Source organism: Homo sapiens, chromosome 10 (assembly GCF_000001405.40).
Source record: "Homo sapiens chromosome 10, GRCh38.p14 Primary Assembly".
NCBI lineage: Eukaryota > Metazoa > Chordata > Mammalia > Primates > Hominidae > Homo > Homo sapiens.
The window spans coordinates 115,715,482-115,735,604 of record NC_000010.11 but is presented as its reverse complement, the minus strand read 5'-3'; the positions used below and the strand labels follow the sequence as shown (position 1 = coordinate 115,735,604).

The following is a 20,123-nucleotide window of genomic DNA, read 5'->3' as shown; positions in this document are numbered from 1 at the left end:
AGAGTAGTGATGCTGGCAAGTTATTAATATTGTTCTATTTTATTATCAGTTACGGCTGTTAATCTCTTATTGTGCCTAATTTACAAATTACACTTTATCATAGGTATGTATATCTCGGTTTGGTACTATCCCATATTTCAGGCATCCACGGGGACTCTTGGAACATATTCCCTGGGGATATGAAGGGACCTACTACAGCAACAACGGAAATCAGAAGCCAGTGTCAGAACAATTTTCACGTGAACACAATGTGTGAGTGTGACCCTCCCACTGAAAGATAACTAGAATGCTTGATAAAGTATATTTTAAATACATTTCTTAGATTGTAAACAATAAGAGGATACTGAAACTGGAGAGGGAAATAGAAAGACTAAGAGAGTTTATTATCAAAAGACATATGCTAAAGGCATTACTTAAAGACAGAGCAGGAAAGTAGAAACATTTTAAAAGGAAGCTCTGAAGGCGAAGAACAACTGTGAGCCAAGAAAATACACAATATGTAAGTAAATTTAAACACATATTGATCATATAATACAACAACAATAATGTTTAATTCAAGGAATGACAAAACTCATAGAACTTAACAAAGGTAACAAAAACAAAGAAAATTGGAAGCAAGATTTAAATTGTTCTTAAATTGGAAGCAAGATTTATATTGTTTGGGAAGAGGGAAAAATGTTCATTAATTTTTGACTTAAACTATGCCTGTTAAAATGTTAAGAGTAACCACTAAAATAAATAAATTTTATAACATGCAAATCAATTGAGGATAAAAGGGAATATTTTTTAAAGATGGAAAAATAATAGGAAATTCAGGATGAAAATAAAGCAAAGGTAGGGTCTGAAAAATATTACCAAAAGACACAATAAGCTGATTAATTAAAAGTAGAGAAAATATAGCATTTAAAATCAATATCCAAAGAGAGAAAACATTTATAGCAGGTAATTTACAAATGCTTAATATATTTGATCTAGAAGTAAAAAGGCAAGGAATGTTCCAATAGAAAGATGAAGAAAGATATCGAATGAGCTATCATTTCTAAGTTTTCTAGAATTAATACAATATTTCTCATATAATCAGATGACTATCAATAAATGCTATTAAAATAGAAAAGGATTAGAGAATAATGATCAACAAATGAACATCTAGGAAAAATACAAATGGTTACAGACAATACAAAAATATTCAATTTTACTAACAATAAAAATTTGATTAAAAGAAAGAAGGTAACATTTATTGTATCAAATTAACAGTTGCAAAAACACCAACAATCATTTTTGACAAGGATGCATGAAAATAGAAATTCTCATACTTTGCTAAAGATAGTGTGAACAGCGACATTTCTAGAAAGTAAATAAGCAATATACCTCAAGATCCTAAAACTTAATAACTTTTGATTCAGTAGGTTTTTTTTCATAAAGTAAGATCGAGTTATATACAAAAATGAAATGCAGTCTTATTTATAATAGTGTGAAATTAGAATAATGCTAATTGAAAACAGAATAGGCAAATAAATGATGATATACCACAAAATAATTAAAATGTATTTTTGAATCAAACTTAGATGTGAAAAATGTTCTTATTCTAATACTGAGAAAAACAGAATGCAAAATCACTATAAAATATGCTCTCAATTTTGTAAAAATACAAATATGCAAAATGAAAATGTTATTGGAAAGAAATAAAAGTTCTGGCACTGAATATTTATGGGTAATGGGATAATGAAATATTTTAATTTGTATTATATCTTTTACATTAATATTTATCTATAATGAGGATGTATTCTTTACATAATCAGAATATTAACAGTAAATGATAATAATTAAAAATATCAAATATCACAAATCAGCTATAAGAAAAAAGGAAACCTGGGGAAAATTAAATAAGCTGCTTAGGCCAGTCACTGGAACTACTGTCCATGGATATGGCAGGACAGGAATGAGGAACCAGGGGGACCACTGGCTGTGCCCAAGAGCAGAGGACTGGGCTTAATGTGGTCCAGGAATGAGGCCATCAATGCTCTTAATAGGACAGCTGCTTCACTTTGACTGCCTTAGACTTGAACAATGCGTTTTTCACCTTGGGAGCGAGGTTTCTTACATAAGATACGAGGCTGAACTGTCCCAATAAACAGAGAATGAACTTCAATGTGATGTCAAAATTAGCACTGTTAGAGCTACCAAATAGAAAGTAGATTCGAAATTAATTTTTTCTAGGTTACCGTATGCTTCTTACATGTCCAGTGTCTTTTTGAAAACTCCACTTTATAGTACTCGAAAGCTATAATTTTCTTTATAGGTGGAGAGAATCAAAACATTACAAATTTGTAAAATGAAAATTCTGGTATAAAGTAGTTAAAATATATACAGAGAATACTAATGAAATAATTAGTCTGGTAAAAATTAATCATGCTGTAAACAACTGTCTTTAAAATTATTAATTAGCCTACTTGACTATAATTACCAAATAAACAATCTTAAATTACTTTGTTTCTACAGAACTGTTACTTTATTAGCATAACAAAACTACAAAAGTTATTTTTATAAGAAACTTCTAATATAAAAATAAAAGAAAGCTTGTGTGCTGAGTTTATTGCAGTTTAGTAAGTCACTTTGATTTCTTTATAGCAATTTAGATTACAATGGATAACTGCTGGAATTCTCTGATATACTAAGACAGCCTATAACTTTCCAAGTGAAAGTTCTTCCTTAAGATCCACAATTATCTATGACTATTTGAGCACCTGGAATCAAAGTATACTACATGAACTTTAAGTAACTCTATTCCTTACAAAAAAAATTCTATAGATATATTAAGGTCTAAGATGTCTTCTCAATTTGAACGAAAATCAGCATATATAAAAAGCAATGTGGGAAAGAAACCCTTAGGCCAATATGAGATTTGAACCCTGGTTCTTGCTCTACTGGTGACTGAATTTGTGATCTTCAGCATAGGTCTGAAGCTCTCAGAGCCTCAGTTTCCTCAATAGTAAATAGAAAAAAAAGATGAAATATGTTCTGCTTATTTTATAGGATTGACTTAAGACTCAAATGAGATTGAGATAGTGTATGTAAAGGAATTTTGAAAAATAATGTTTTAACCTCAATTTAAACATTTTGATCATTCCCAAGACCTAGGAAGTTGAAATTCAATCTTTAAAACAGTCTTTAAAAAGAACAAAGTTGGATGACTCACACTTTTAGATTCCAAAACTTGCTACAAAGGTAGAGTCATCAAGATAGTGTGGTACTGTCATAAGAATAGATAAATAGATTGGTAGAATAATATTGAGATTCCAGAAATAAATCCTCATGGTTATGGTAAATTGATTTTCAACAAGGGTCCCTAGACTATTCAATGGAGAAAGAAAGTACTTTTCAACAAGCGGTAAAAAGTTACGATATAATCCAGCAATTCCACCCTTAGGCATATACCCAAAAAAATGTAAACATGTTTATACAATTTTTTTTACACAAATGTTCACAGTGGCATCATTCATAGTATCCAAAAGGTGAAAACAACTCAAATAACCATCAACTAATTAATGTACAAACAAACTGTGCCACATCCATACAATGGAATATCATTTGACAATAGAAATGAATGAAGCACTAACAGGCGCTACAACACGTATCAACTTTAAAGACATTATGCTAAGCGAAAGAAGCTAATCACAAAAGATCACACTGTATATAGTTTTATTTGTATGAAATGTCCAAAACAGTAAAATCTGTAAAGATGGTAGATTAATCGTTGCCCAGGGCTAGGAGATGGGTGTGGGGTGGGGGGGCAGGGGCTGAAGAAAAATGTGGGGTAGGGAGACTGCTGAAAGGCATAGGGTTTCTTTCGGGGTGATGACAGGATCCAAAATTGACTTTGGTGGTGGTTACATAACTGTATATATACCAAAAATCAGTGCATTATATATATTAAATATTAGAACATTATATATATTAAATATAAATATAATAACTATTGGTATATGTTCTATATTTCAATAAAGCTATTTCCATAAAAATACCATACATTAATAACTAGATCTTGATCCCCAAATATAAAGGCCTTTCCTAAACGAGAATTTACATGTAATTATTTTTCTGCAAAAAGTCATACAAAAGAAATAGAGGCATGCTAGTTATTAAGAGAACTGAGTGAAAAATAAAAATAGTAAGAATTGCAACAATTAATATAATGCTTTATGTTATACCAAGTACTTGCAAAAATGACCCCACAGACAACAAAATAGCAAATCAGAATGAGTCATTTGTTCCCTCTCCTGATTTTAAACATGGAGATAATATGGGCCACAGTCCACATTGTCCTGGATAGATTGGTACCGATCCCACCTGCTGTGGGGCAGGAAAGCAGCAGAACCAGTCAAGTGCCAGCCTAAGGCTGGAGACTGATTGTGACGGTTAATACTGAGTGTCAACTTGATTGCATTGAAGGATGCAATGTATGGATCCTGGGTGTGTCTGCGACGATGTGCCAAAGAAGATTAACATTTGAGTCAGTGGGCTGGGAAAGGCAGGCCCACCCTTATTCTGGGTGGGCACCATCCAATCATCTGCCAGCGAGACTAGAATATAAAGCAGGCAGAAAAAAACACGAAAAGACTAGACTGGCCTAGTCCATCTTTCTCCCATGCTGGATGCTTCCTGCCCTCGAACACTGGACTCCAAGTTCTTCAGTTTTGGGACTTGGACTGGCTCTCCTTGCTCCTCAGCCTGCAGATGGCCTATTGTGGGACCTTGTAATCATGTAAGGTAATACTTAATAAACTCCTATATATATAGAATATATACATATACACAACTATATATCTCCTATTAGTTCTGTCCCTCTATAGAACCCTGACTAATACACTGATGACAGGGTAATTATAGGGCTCATCTCAGGGAAGAAATCCCATAGCTATAAAAGCAGATGGCTAGATAACCCTAAACATTCACTTCTTCCCGCCTCAACTGCCGATCTAGCAAATACGTAAATTTACGTGTATCTTTTATTACTTGGGAAGAAATAAGAAACATATGTATATATACACATACACACACATATGGACACATTGGAGAAAAATGTATGAACACTGAGAAAGGAGAAAATACTGAAAAATTCCAAAAAGAAAATGGAGATCATTTACAAAGGACAAAAAATCAAATTGACATCAGACTTGAGACAATGGTTAAAGCTGTGGAGAAGAGAACTTTGAACCTAAAATTTCATATTCAATTAAACTGTTTTGTACATGTGAGAAAAACATATTGGTAGGCATTTAGGTTCTCAAAGATAATGCCATACAAAGTTTCTCTCTCTCTCTCTTTTTTTTTTTTTTTTTTTTTTTTTTTTTGAGGAGTCCTACTCTGTTGCCCAGGCTGGAGTGCAGTGGTGCAATCTTGGCTCACTGCAACTTCCATCTCCTGGGTTCAAGCAATTCTCCTGCCTCATATTCCAGAGTAACTGGGATTACAGGCGTGCACCACCATGCCCAGCTAATTTTTGTATTTTCAGTAGAGATGGCGTTTCACCATATTGGCCAGACAGGTCTTGAACTCCTAACCTCAAATGATCTACCCACCTCGGCCTCCCAAAGTGCTGGGATTACAGGAGTGAGCCACCATGCTGGACCCAAAGTTTCTCTTTGAAAAAAATCTTTTAGAGAGGTAATCTTAGTGAAAAATAAAAGAAATGCATGAGCAAACAACTAGATATCAAAAGTAAAGGAGAACAAATAAAGTTCATTGTTCTTTACATAGGCCATAATAAAGAAAGAAGTACATCCATAACGTTTTGATAAAAATTCCAGGTGGTATTAACATATGGAAGGAGAAACAGAGGGAAGTTGAGAGCATGCTAAAGTATTAATTTTATTTGAGATGGGCAATGGAGGAATATGTTTTAATAAGATTAAAGCATAGCTAGGGAAAAATCACTATGAATCTTGATAAGGAAAGGGTAGCTATAAGCAACATAAAAATAGAATATGCAATATTCTGTTTAGTAGATGAAAATCAGTTTATGGACAGAAGCTGGGAAAAAAAAACAAAAAGAAGCAAGGCTAGTAACAACACACACACACACACACACACACACACACACACACACACAAAATGGGGTAGCTGAAATAAGCCTTGGTAGAACAGTAGTTAATGTCAGTGTTAACATCAATAAAAAACAGAGTAAATGAAAAAATAAAAAAGCTAACAGTTTTTTCCAGAAAGTATAGTTGTAAAACAAAAGGATATAGCGAAATTGCAAATGAAATAAGGAATATCAGAAAATATGGACTAAAAGAAAGTAGGGCTAGACATTTTTTAACTCTACAAAATACAATTTAAGGTTAAAAATTCACAATGATAAAGAAAGAACCAACATTTGGAAAAAATAGAACATGAAGATATGATGATTATGAACACATGGGTACCTAACAATACATTATTGAACACTATTAACGTGCAACTGACAAACTATGGTGACATATGTCTGTGTCATATTTGTTCCTTGAGTTTGTGAATTTTCTAGTTCTTTATTTCTTTTCTTCTTTAGTCTATGTGTGCATTACTTACATTTTTTTTCTCTTGTTACTCGATTTTTAGCAGTATTTAAGAATGTTTTAAACAGATGGGGATAAAAAGAATTTATAATAGTCCAAAAATAGTCTAAGTTTTCTGTGTGTGAAAGTTTTTTATAAAAGTTATTTGAAACAAGGAACCAAAATGAAATTAGAGCACTTGCTGTAACTTTCATTTAATCATTCTTTTTTGTTATTTTTTCCCCAACAAATAGAAGATATACACACAAATTTCCTGATGTTCTAAGCTTCCATGGTAACCTGTGATCTAGAGTAGTAAAAAATCAAGTACACAAAATGTCTTAAAAATCATAGGGAAACATGCACCCAATATTTCATTTCCTCTAAAAACTGACCCTTTGAGTAGCATCCATGAGTTGTGATTTTGTCTTATTTTTTCAGAAAAAACAAAAATGCTACAGACAGAATCTATTATATGTATACCTAGGTTTTTGAATGATTCTATTTTTCCATTCTTTATTTTCCTTGACAAAAAGTAAAATCTGAAAATGGCAACATAAAATTAGTCAAATAAAGACATTTTTAAAAAAGAGAATAAAATGTTTCAATTCTAGAGTTTCTTAACCTTTCTACTTAAATATATCTTACCACATATAAAAGTAAATAAAAGTAATAAACATACAATTAAATTAGTATGCATCATAATGCTTTGAATAGTCATTAATCATAATTTGTGAATTTTGCATCCTTTTTTTTTTTTTTTTTTTTTTTTTGAGGCGGAGTCCCACTCTGTCTGTCGCCCAGGCTGGAGTGCAGTGGCAGGATCTCGGCTCACTGCAAGCTCCGCCTCCCGGGTTCACGCCATTCTTCTGCCTCAGTCTCCTGAGCAGCTGGGACCACAGGTGCCTGCCACCACGCCCGGCTAATTTTTTTTTTTTTTTTTCTTTTTTTTTTTTTTTTAGTAGAGACGGGGTTTCACCATGTTAGCCAGGATGGTCGCGATCTCCTGACCTCGTGATCTGCCCACCTTGGCCTCCCAAAGTGCTGGGATTGCAGGTGTGAGCCACCGCGCCCGGCCGAATTTTGCATCTTTAGGGATTATTATTTTCAGAAACCACTTCATGTATTACTTTTGGATTCTAATACCATATTTAGTTGCATATAATGATTTCTGTTTCATCATACTCTATTTCTGCCTTTGCAATAAAGGAATGTAATAATACAGCAATTAACCACAAATAAAAATATTCATTTTATATGTGAGAAACATTCACTTTTCAACATTCAAAAATGAAGCTATGTAATTAAAATGCAACTCATCTCCACTCGTACCTTTTCTAAGTAAACTTTGTTAATAAAGATAGATGTGAATTGTTAACTTGGTGCACAGAGTACTCCAAAGACTAAATATAGGCGCTTTGTTTCTTCGATCATACCTATATCTTAAATTCCCTCAGCTCCTCTGTCAGAGAAAGGCTGCCAGGTGAGCAGTCTGTCACTCCTGCCTAGGCTAATAGATTCTCCAGTGGCTTTGGTTACAGCTCATGTCATACTATTAAAACTATGTGCCTTGAAAATGGCATAACATATGTAGCTGAATCTTGTCAACTGTAGATAATCAGACTCTGTTTGGCTTCATAAGCAGATGTAGATTAGAGAAGCAATATAATAAATATGCAAAGCACAGTGGTCCTCTTTCAGCACCGCTGTTCCTACCTCTAATGGCCCTCGCAGAAACTCTGTTTGTTCAGCTCCCACTTCCAGAGCTACATCAACAGAAGCAAAGGGACGGCTGGCCATCTGCTGTCGTTCTCGAAGCAGTTGCTGGAGGGGGTTAAAAATGATTTATCTTAAAATAGGTTTAAAAGCACATGAAATTCAACAATATCTGGTTCCCTCTTTTAACAAATGGCATTGAAAAGTTAGGAATCATTTTATACAGATATCCATATCTAGAATACTAAAGATGAAAATTACTTTCTCCCCGTGGCCTTGGCTGTATGTCCACAGAAGCTTTAAATGTACGGTGCCTACAAATAACTTTTCCCCTGACCTCCATCCTGCAGGCCTAATACAATGTACTCAAAAGCACTCTGAAAGCCTCGGGTGAGAGGTGCTACTTGAGTAAAAAGTGTTATTACAGTGATGGCTATGCCAAATTTTCCTACTCAAAATAACTCAGATTTTTGTCTTAGCTGAAAAAGAAAAAAAAAAAACAGTAAAAATATTTAAGAAAAGATAATGAAAAGTTGTCAAAATGCATTAATAGAAATTAAAGGAACATATACCTGCCAAGACTAAGTTTTGTAAGTCATCAGAATCCCCTGTGAACTGCTATGGAACCAGAAGGAATTATTATTGGCAGTGTTTATAATTTTGTTCAAAGCCTCTGTTTATCATTCAAAATGAGGCATGATTAGTAAGGTGCAGAAATTGTGTGCAAGGACTTCTACAGCACCCCCAGATACTTGTTTCTTTCTCTTTGTGACTATTCTGGGCTGTGCCCAGGCTAAAACCAATAAACTAGCAAGTCCCAACCAACTACTAAGCTAATTTATCTTTTTGCCTCTCCTTGTAATTATGATATTCATTAAGTCATGATAAAAAAATTGATGACCAGCACTAGATATTGCAATTCTTGCCCTTCTCATTCTATACAGCTAATAAAATTATTATTAAATATTAAAATAGGACGTGTGATGCAATTAAATACTCTTTAAAATGAGAAGAAAATTGTATTATTGAAGAAAGGCAAAATCCTTGAACACAATGAATGGCTTCATTATTCACAGATATTTTTAAAGATTCTCTGTCATTTACTTAAAATGTTAACTACTAGTCTTTGAATGTAAATGGATGTAGTCCTGTGAGTGAAGATTCATAAAATTCCCTTGTAGATGATAAAGGAACACAGGCCAAATTATTTAAACACAAGTTTATTTATTTAAGCAGAAGTTTAAATAATAAACTGCCATGACAGTTTATTATTTAAAATGTTTGTTTTAATACCTGGTTTTTATTATTAAAAAGAGAACATTCACATGACAATATGGGATAGAAATAATGCAACTGTTAATAAGTAACAATTTAAGTTTGTAGATCACATTTTTTTGAAGTAACAAATTCATTTTAAAAATACATATTCAAAGTAAAAAGTGAATGTGATCTGAATTATCAAATTATTCACTTTAATATAACTTCAAAATTATATTATTAAAAATACAGCTCCTGGCAAATAGAATCTGGTTTATGCCTCTCTCAATAGGAATGGGAAATTGATCTGAATAGTATGTCTATGCAAAATGCAAACATAATGTTATCTCAAATGCTAAGGATAGTAAATGCAGAAGACACCAGGTTCTTCGTCTTTGGTAAAAACACACACACCAACATGCCCAGACAACACACACAAATATACAATCTACCCTTCCTATACTCATGTACAAAAAGTCTTGAGAAAATTGTAAATTCCACTTTGTGTTTGAACACAATTTTCTAAGATTTGTATTATCAATTATCTCCATTTGTATTTGTTCTCCTCAGCATATAAACGGCATCTCATATGACAAGTGATTGCTAGACAAAATGAACAGCTTCTTTTTCCTCATCTTGCCTTTTCCTTATATCTAAAAGTATAAGGTCTACAAAATAGAATTAATGAATACTCAATATCACATATTGTAATATAAATCAACAAATATTCCAAACTCACAATCGTTGACAAAAAATAGAGTTCCATGGACTGTAATCTATTATTGTGACTCCCAAAAACTCATAAAAAAATCAGTGACTGATACTTTTGTTCAATTTTTAAATTTGTAGAATGCGAAAGTATATTTAAAAATTCTAGTTTGTTTCCTGAGCTTTGTGTTTCTATCAGTTTTTAAGAACTGAATGCCTACTAAATTACTTTATGTAAAGAACAAGAAAAATATTCTTCTTGCCCAGGACTTTACTACTATAGTTTGTAAAGCAAATCTGGTAAAATGGAAATAATTAGGGCACAATATAGTGTGTCAGTAAAGTTACAAATAAAGAATTAGACAAATAAATTTATTCTGTGTCACCTAGTAGAAGACTAGTTAGAGAGTCCTTGCTGAAACAGCTGAGTTTCTGCCTTTGGGAGACTAATGCAAATGTTCTTACTGTGAAATTTAGGAAGAGAACATCATTTTCCCTCGTAGCACTCTTGCTTTAGTGTGATAGCCCTAAAATAATCAAATGGAGTAAATCGTGATTATCTTTGCAACTAATTTCTGCCCTCCTCCCCTAATTCTTAACAATTGTCCTACTTTTAAATACCAGTTTCTCCACTTTTTAGCTGTTTGAGCTTAACCAAATTATTTAGACCTCTCTAAGCCTCAATTTTTTTCATCTATAAATAATAACAGTACCTACACTACGCCTATACCTTAGAGGACCTGTTTTAAATCCCAGCTGTTGAACTTACCAGCAATTGGATCATAATCTAATTACTGAGACCTTTCACTCATTCTTTCTCTCCATAAAATGGGAATAGCAATAGTATCTTTAAGTCATAAGGTTGAGACTAAAGAGATAACACACTTGGGCTGTTCCACACAGAGGCTGGCACATTGTGAGCACTCAATAACTGCTAATTGGTACAATTATAATGTTAAATTTCAAGCACTATTTTTGTCTCAGAAGACGGCACACTAATTACCACAGGCCCATTTTCTTCAGCAACAGTGACACATTTTGCTCTACTAGTCTCCCTTTTAACAAATGTTTTGCAAATTTATGAGACAGTTGGAAACTGTCATTATTGTGGTAAAATGAATTTAGATTTGGAACTGCCTTCCACCATTTGTGACTAAGAATGATAAAAACTCATCCTGAAAATTAGGAAAAACTGTATCGTATTTTCTTAAGAAAATTTGAAAATTAATAGATTTTCCAGGATTGTGTTTTATATAAAATGAAGCTTAACATTTTGTATACCCATAAGAAGCCATATAGCAGATGTGTCTGTTTTATAACTAATCTGCTATTGCCAATTATTCAGCAGAACAATAAAGCCAAAAGAACAAATTGATCATAATACAATAGATTATAATCATACTGCCATAAACATTGTTGTGAAGAAAATTTAAAAATTAAAGAGATGTTACTATCTTATTTGTTGTACATAATAACTGTTTTGCTATTCAAAATCTCTTATAAAACAAACCATGGAATTAAAAATGATATGAAAATCAGGCCAGGCTCAGCGGCTCACGCCTGTAAGCACTTTGGGAGGCCGAGGCAGGTGGATCACCTGAGGTCAGGAGTTCAAGACCAGCCTGACCAACATGGTGAAATCCTGTCTCTGCTAAAAAATAAAAATAAAAATAAATTAGCCAGGCATGGTGGCACATGCCTGTAATCCCAGCTACTCAGGAGGCTGAGACACGAGAATCACTTGAACCCGGGAGGTGGAGGTTGCAGTGAGCTGAGATTGCGTCATTGCACTCCAGCCTGGGTAACAAGAGCGAAACTCCGTCTCAAAAATAAATAAATAAATAAATAAATAAATACAAAAGAAAAGAATATCTACGCTTAAATTTGACAACCAGGTAGAGTCAGTGATTCTATCAAATATGAATACAGATAATTCTTCAACTTAATACTATTACTTCAAATACGGTATCATTCCCCAAACTTGATACTAGCTACCTTTCCAAACACCACAAGGCATACAACTCTTTGAATGACTTTAGGATAATACTCCTTAAAAATACACATACATAAAAAACAAAGCAGTGACTAACTCTGCCTGCAATTGTCTTCATACCTCCTACTACATGACTCTTTTGCATAGGTTCCCTATCTATTCTCTCCTCCACCTTCAAATGTCCTTCTACCTCACCTCAACTTTGAAATGATCACCTCTTCTATGAATTATTTGTGATATTAATATGGCACCATCTCTTTATGTCTCCATGCTTTTCTGGGATCTTCTTTAAGGCAAAAGCCTATTTTTGTTTTTCATTCCCCACAATACTTAGTTGATAGTCAACAGTGTTTTATGAATGAACAATGAATGAGTGAATAAAATATAGTATAAGAATCTGTTTCATCCAAATGTGGGTAAAGGCAAGTTATGATAAAACTGACTCTAATTATGCATAAACTTTTAAAACTCTTATATGTCCTTTGATGTTCTAGAATTTATGTCTTCTCCTTGAAAGTAGGTAGACATTTATTTTTTTAGAATGGGGATGTTTTGTGGACCTGTCTTGCAAATCAATATCAGATTTCATATTGTTCCTCATCATCTAGCTTATGGCAATACTGCAAAGATCATAGAAAAAAACTGCCATAAAGTCATCACAATGCATTAATATTTCTAACAGCAATTATATTCAAAACAATTTGGAAAGGTATAAAAAGAGCACTCAAAATGATTTTGTCATTAGTTTTGAGCTACAAACTAAAATAAAGCCTCTGAAGAAAAGATTATGCAACAATTCATGAAATAAGAGGCTTTCTGTTATTAACACAAACATACTTAGCATACAGTAATACAAGTAAAAAATCATTTTTTGTTCTTTTGATGTTAGGATGGTGTAAAGAAGAGAAGTGGCAAGAACTTTTAGTATCATTAAATTAGGAAAGCATGGTTTTCTACCATTTTATATAACTAAATCTTCAAGGCACAAGGTTCAAATTCTTGTTCAGAAAAATATTGGAAATCTTCTGCTTTCAGTCTTCCAGTGTGAGGTTAATTTTCCTAGATAGTGATGTTAGTCATTATGGGAGTGGTTTGGAAAAACATCTTTATTCAGGTTACAGTTGTTATTTTTTTTTCTAGGCTTTTATAATCTTTGACCTGCCGGCAATATGCTGTGTTTGACATAATGTGTTAACTTAAAAATAAAAAAAAAATTCTACCTGTCTAACACTGACAAGTATTCACTGAGTTGGCTGATAATATTCATTTCCAATGATTTTTGAAATTTCTTTGTCAAATGGTATTTTTGCAATATTTGTATTAACTTGCAAAGTAAACTTGAGTGACTGTCCAGAAGGCCTTTAATAATGCGAGATTCCATAAAACCTTAAGATTAGTTATTTTTTCTTCATTATTCAAAAGCAAAATATTGTCAAATAGCCACAGCAGATTTTCCAGGTAGGTTGTTCAGTTATTTGGGGTTGCTATTTGGGCAGTAATGTGCCAAAACCTAAACCTACCTTTCACTGTCATCAGGTCTGCTACCAGACAGAGGAAAGACAAAGGAAAAACGGAAAATGTTTCTGGATCTTTGATTAAAATATAGATTTCAAAATATCCTCTAAAATGTTAATAGCATATATAAGTGATATGGTTTGACTGTGTCCCCACCCAAATCTCAACTTGAATTGTATCTCCCAGAAATCTCTCGTGTTGTGGGAGGGACCGAGTGGGAGGAACTGAATCATGGGGGCTGGTCTTTCCCGTGTTATTCTCATGATAGTGAATAAGTCTCATGAGAACTGATGGGTTTACCAGGGGTTTCTGCTTCTGATTCTTCTTCATTTTCTCTTAACGCTGCCATGTAAGAAGTGCTTTGGCCCCCCACCATGATTCTGAGGCCTCCCCAGCCATATGGAATTGTAAGTCCAATTAAACCTCTTTTTCTTCCCAGTCTCAAGTATGTCTTTATCAGTAGTGTGAAAAGGGACTAATACAATAAGCTTATATATATGTATATACCAATGCATATATAGTACATATGCATGTCAATGTATGTAGAAAGTATAAGCATGACTATGCGTATCAAAGTAAATACGTTATCACTCAAAGTAAAATTAAACCAAAAGGTCAAAATAACGGATTAAATTATGTCAACAAATGAGGGTCTTGTTGTCACCTGGATAACACTGATTATATAATTCATATGACCAAGACACAATCTCCACAGATTTTTAGACCTGGCAGGAACCTCACAGAACCTCTAGGCCAGAGATTCCTCAAACTGCAGATCACAGACCTCTAAAGGGCAAATAGATGAGGACTGGAAAAGTCTATGAACCTGGCACTAATAGATGATACTTTAATTATTTCCCTGCAATTTCAGTGGATTCAATCATTAACTTACTGCTGTCTTCAGAAGCTAACAGCCCCTCATCCTGAACCAAAATGTAACTCTACTTCCTTAAGTTATTTCAAGAAATAAATCAATCAACTCATATTAATGCTTAAAACAAAAGGGAACAAATTCTAAAAGCCAGCAAAACTACTTTAGAATTACTGACACATTCCTATTTGCTAGATAAGAATTTGAAAATGATCTTCAAGGCAGAATTAGTTCAAAGCTCAGACATTTAATTGGAAACATTTCATTTATTTGTTTTCTTCATGTAGCTCACTGGTTCTCAAACTTTGTTTTTTTCTGTAAACTTTGGTGTATATGCAATGCCACCTATACTCTATACTGAATGATCTTGTTTCTTAAAGATATCAGCCTTACATACTGATTGTAGATCATAACTTCAATGTAAAATCAGTCTCATGGAACTCTGGAAATTGTCAATATTAACAAGAGCAGGGTGGTACAAACTACATGACCTGATAGCATCACCATCATTTCCTTGTAATAAGGTATTTTTAAAAGGTTTCTACTGACAGGAATTAAATAAAATATACCTTACTTTTACAAGTATGGTCCTTTTAAGCATGGGCTGTCATTGTTTAGGTTAATTTAGGAAATGTCAGAGAAAATGAATAATCTTCATTAGCAAATCTTCCTTATCTTTACATATCCATGCTATCCATTCCTACTTAAACATCATGGGAGACAAAACAGTACTTCTTACAGGGGCGATTCTTTGTAATTAAATTTTGAAGTCAAGAAAATGGAAGGGTTGCCTGACATCTGTCCATTTGTAAGTCTTCATGAAAATAAATTTAATTTAAAAGGGATAGGGGCCAGACGCAGTGGCTCACACCTATAATCCCAGCACTTTGGGAGGCCAAGGCGGGCAGATCACCTGAGGTCAGGCGTTCAAGGCCAGCCTAGCCAACATGACGAAACTCTGTCTCTACTAAAAAATACAAAAAATATATCCAGGCCTGGTGGCGCACACCTGTAATCCCAGCTACTCAGGAGGTTGAAGTAGGAGAATGGCTTGAATCTGAGAGGCAGAGGATACAGTGAGCCAAGACCACCACTGCACTCCAGCCTGGGGCAAAAAAGCAAGACTCCATCTCAAAAAAAAAAAAAAAAAGAGTGTGTGGGGGGGTGGATAGAATTTTACCAAAATTTGAATTTTTCTCAACACAAAAGCTGTGTCTTGAAGCATATCACAAAGTTGTTAATCAAATCAGTTAAGCTTTGTATCTCTGGATAGACCTTGGTAAAATCATTTTTTGGTGGCGGGGGGATGATCATGCTAATTTGCAGTATGGAGCAAACAAAGAAAAGTAAAATAATATCCCTATCTAATTATCACATCCATTCCAGAAATTTCTAATGTTTGCTAACACTGAGTATTTTGAAGTAAATTAGGAAAGGATTAGAATTTCATCATTTCTTTTTAGTCTAAGTGAAACACTAACATGATCCAGCATAGACAATCCCTGGTTTTTGTCAACTGTGTGCTTGCTGACTTCTCATTAACAAAGAATTCCAACTTGTGAACACTTTTTCAAAAGAAAATCACTTAAGTCTTCATAACACTGAAGATGAATATTCCATGCAAAACTTTGATTATGCAGATGATATACCTGTGTATACTTGTTTTTATCTTCTACTTGATCACATATCTCATTTTGTTCCTTAATGAGAAATGAAGTTCTGTACTTCATGTGGCACATGTCTTCATGCATTAGCAATAAGAAAATATTTTTCTGTAAAGTCTTAATGCCTTGTCAAGAAACTCCATTAAGGACTGGAAGCAAATTATGAAGTTCTTTACTTCAAATTCCAAAGGATGATCCTGAATAGCTTAGACTAAAATTCTAGGAAAAATTTTGTTTTTTTCTTTCATCGTTTTTAAAAAATAAAAGCCTATTTGTAGAAAAATGTGATAGTTTGCTCATATCAAGATTTCCATGGTGAATAAATTTGCCTGTAATAATTAATTGAATGAATTTTTACTGAGCTCCTACTGCATGCCCTTTTTCTAGTAACTGATGTATGGGGTGACTCTTTTGATTCTATTCAGCAAGCTTCTCCATGCCAGCAAAAAAAATACCAGAGACTCTTCTGAACCATGTGCCAGAAAACTGGAAGCAGGCAGCTGGCAGATAGTATAGTCTGCTATTGGAGGAAGTACTTATGTAGCCTGGAGTTAAAAGCAACAAAGCTATTCGTTAGTGGACGAACACCTCCATATATGCAAAAATATTGCAGAATTTTTGAAGGTGACTCTTCGGGAAATTTTAAAATGAAAATACGGACTCTAAATCTTTTCTGTGTTGATACAGATAGCATTACCTATAAAGACTTTGCCAAAGATGATCTCATTTCAGGATAAAAGAAATAATGCAAAATGGATTTATCTAGGAGAGTCTTAAAAACTGTGCTATGGCTTGATACAGGCTATCTTTTCTGGTGACCAACAGGAAATTCAATGGACCTTTGCAAGATAGTATTTTATCTTGCTTTTTGTACTTGTTGACATTAAAACAAAATGTTGAAAAATGAATGCTTATTGACAACTTTAAAAATACTCTGGGCACTTAAGAATCATAATTAACAGCACACAGAAGTCTTGTTTGTTCGACGTTGACTTACATAAACAAATACATAAAAGTATTATGGAAAAAAATTGCTATGGGAAACAAAATGCTCAGAGGAAAGATACAGTGCAGAGGGAAAGTGCTTTAGATAGAATGGTTACAGAAGAGAAATGACATTTGCCCTGAAACCCTGAATAGTTAATCAGAATAGGCACACATTCCCAAAAGCTCAGTAGTTGAACACAGAAAAGTTTATTTTTTGCACACACAAAATCCTCTGGTCTAGGTAACTTCCCATTTGGGAAATCAGCCATATAGATTGTTTCAATCTTGTCACTTTCCATCTCAACCCAAAACTTCCCGAAGAATCATGGCAGAAAAAGGACTAGTGAATCGTGTACGGACTTTTCAGTGCTTCAGCCCACAAGTGATACAACTCATTATCAGAAATAGTCACACAGTCCAACCTAATTACACAGAAGCCAGAAAATGTAGGGTGGCAAATAGAATATTAGGTGAATGGAACAAAGGAAGCTAGAAAAGAACATTTCAGGCCGGGTGAGGTGGCTCACGCCTGTAATCCCAGCACTTTGGGAGGCTGAGGTGGGTGGATCACGAGGTCAAGAGATGGAGACCATACTGGCCAACTGACATGGTGAAATCCTGTCTCTACTAAAAATACAAAAATTAGCTGGGCGTAGTGGCACACGCCTGTAGTCCCAGCTACTCAGGAGGCTGAGGGAGGACAATCGCTTTAACCCGGGATGTGGAGATTGCAGTGTGCTGAGATTGCACCACTGCACTCTAGCCCAGGTGACAGAGCGAGACTCCATCTCAAAAAAAAAAAAAAAAAAAAAGAACATTTCAGGCAGCGGGAAAATCAAGCACCAAGTTTTGAGGCAAGCCTGAGCTTAAAATATTCAAGAAACAGACAGAAAGAAGCTAGAATCTTAATAAGCAATATGGTGAAGGGCAGACTGGCCAAAGTATAATATTGGGTTTATCAAGATTAAGATACATTGAAATCACATCTGTAAATCATTAGGCACACAGGAGCTGAATAAATTAGATTCATTATTTTCTAAAACATAATTTTCTTTGTATATCTCAGACAGTCCATTCCTATGGTGTTAGAATTAGCCTGGAACAAAATGGCACAAGAAATAGGCTTTACCATCCTCAAGTAAAGTTATTTAAGACATCATTCAGAAAACAGCAACAGCAGTTAATCTCAAATACAATGAACCTAGTTCCCTCAATAAGTATCAAAAGGTCAATTTTGTATGTAACCTTTTTTAATACAAAAGGCCAGGTGGTTGTAATTTATCTGAGCAAATCAAAATGAGCAAAAGGATGAGTACTGAAAAGGTCATTTAAAAGCTAGATCCTCAGAATGGATTTTAATACATATTACTCCTCAAAGAGCAAAAATGAGAACCTGGTTAATTTCAAATTTTGAAATCTGCACTCGAAAAAATTTTTCACACATAGAATACCCCCACAGTCATACTATGGAGTATATTTCTTAAACTTAGAGGTTTAAGTTGTGAAAGAAATACCTGTCCTGCTCTCAAAGAGAGGGACAAATGAATGCTATGTCTCGGACATCCAGGAGGTGTACAATATGATCAAGTCAACCTTGACGAGTGGAAATATAAAAGCATCTGACTACAATAGAAATGACACACTGACTTCTGCTTGTGTGCCAATAATTTATGACTTGAGGCTCTTGCTGCAACAAAGCTCAGATCAATCTCTCAGTAGTTCCCCCAACCCCAAGAAGTAATTTACTGAAGAAAGATTTCTTTTCTCCCTGATTCTGGGAATTAATGCAAAGCTAATGATTCAATTCTGAGCCACAACATGCTAGCTTCTAGGTTAAAAAATTCTAAATGCAACATAATCCAGTTAGCTTTTTCATTTAGTGTATAAGGAGTTCGTGTTGAACATTTAAGTAGTTTATGACTATAATTTTGAAGTTCTTCAAGAGGTTCTTAAATCTTCCTGGATACGTAAATGACCCACACACTGGCATTTTCCTTTTAATCAATACATATATTAAAGATATTTTTTTCCTTTGAGGAAAATGGGATTATTTTGCTATTAGCTAATGGAGTCATTTTCAGTTCAATATTGCAAAATGCTAAAAAATGGTTCTCCAGTAAAATGCTCCTTTGTGAAGACATCTGCTAAATATAATTTTTTTAAGTCTCCATTGGAAGATACCTATAATAATCATTGACTAACTGGTGTGATAAATGAATAGGCAATCTGACTTGCTTTTAAGATTTTGTGAAAGGAGACATGATGTTTTTTAAAAAAAATGAATTTCAATTGTTTGAATTTTTTAAATGTGAAGGGCAGTTTGATGTAGCATAGATTACTCATGACTGATATAAATCGGCTTTCTTATGTACTTGGAACAATGTGTTAAACCACAAAAATCAGAAGGTGAGAAAGTCACAGGCTCATTGGAGTAACTCATTCCCAGATTTGGAAGGAATACTGGAGGTTACTAAGTCCAATGTTCCTATTAAAGCAGGCTCAGAAGTGCTGTGACTTTCCTGACAGATGGTCATCTAGGACCCTTGAATACCTTGACGTGAACTTTGATCAAGACAAGTCTTCTTTACTTAGCATGTCTATGAGTAAATTTTTGAAACTAAATTCGGAACTTCACATTGGTATTTATTATACATTTTTCATGTTTTACTGTTGTGATTATTTTTAACCTGTTTTTTTATTGAGTGCAGAATTCTCTTTGAACCTTTAAACTTCCAATGTGTTAGTTGTCTCTCTGCATGTTTTCTTTCATGTTGACCCCGATTCCATCCCCTGAACAGGTCAATGCCCTTTGGGGGCAAAGAGAATCAAGATAGTGAGTTGCCATACTTGCTAGTAATTCAATAAAAATCATAAAAGCC

General features: G+C 34.0%; 1 protein-coding gene across 9 annotated transcripts in view; it reads right to left on the bottom strand.

Annotated features, from left to right (window-relative positions):
- ATRNL1 (attractin like 1) overlaps positions 1-20,123 on the bottom strand; it is an 855,635-nt gene that overhangs the window by 213,395 nt on the left and 622,117 nt on the right. For 8 of the 9 annotated variants that reach the window (NM_207303.4, XM_011539587.2, XM_011539588.3 and 5 more), the window contains one exon: positions 8,250-8,357. In NM_207303.4, the coding sequence (NP_997186.1) occupies positions 8,250-8,357 (108 nt within the window). Of the gene's footprint in view, positions 1-1,723; positions 4,752-8,249; positions 8,358-20,123 lie in introns of those variants that run through there. The other variant, XM_011539589.3, reaches the window with a different exon arrangement.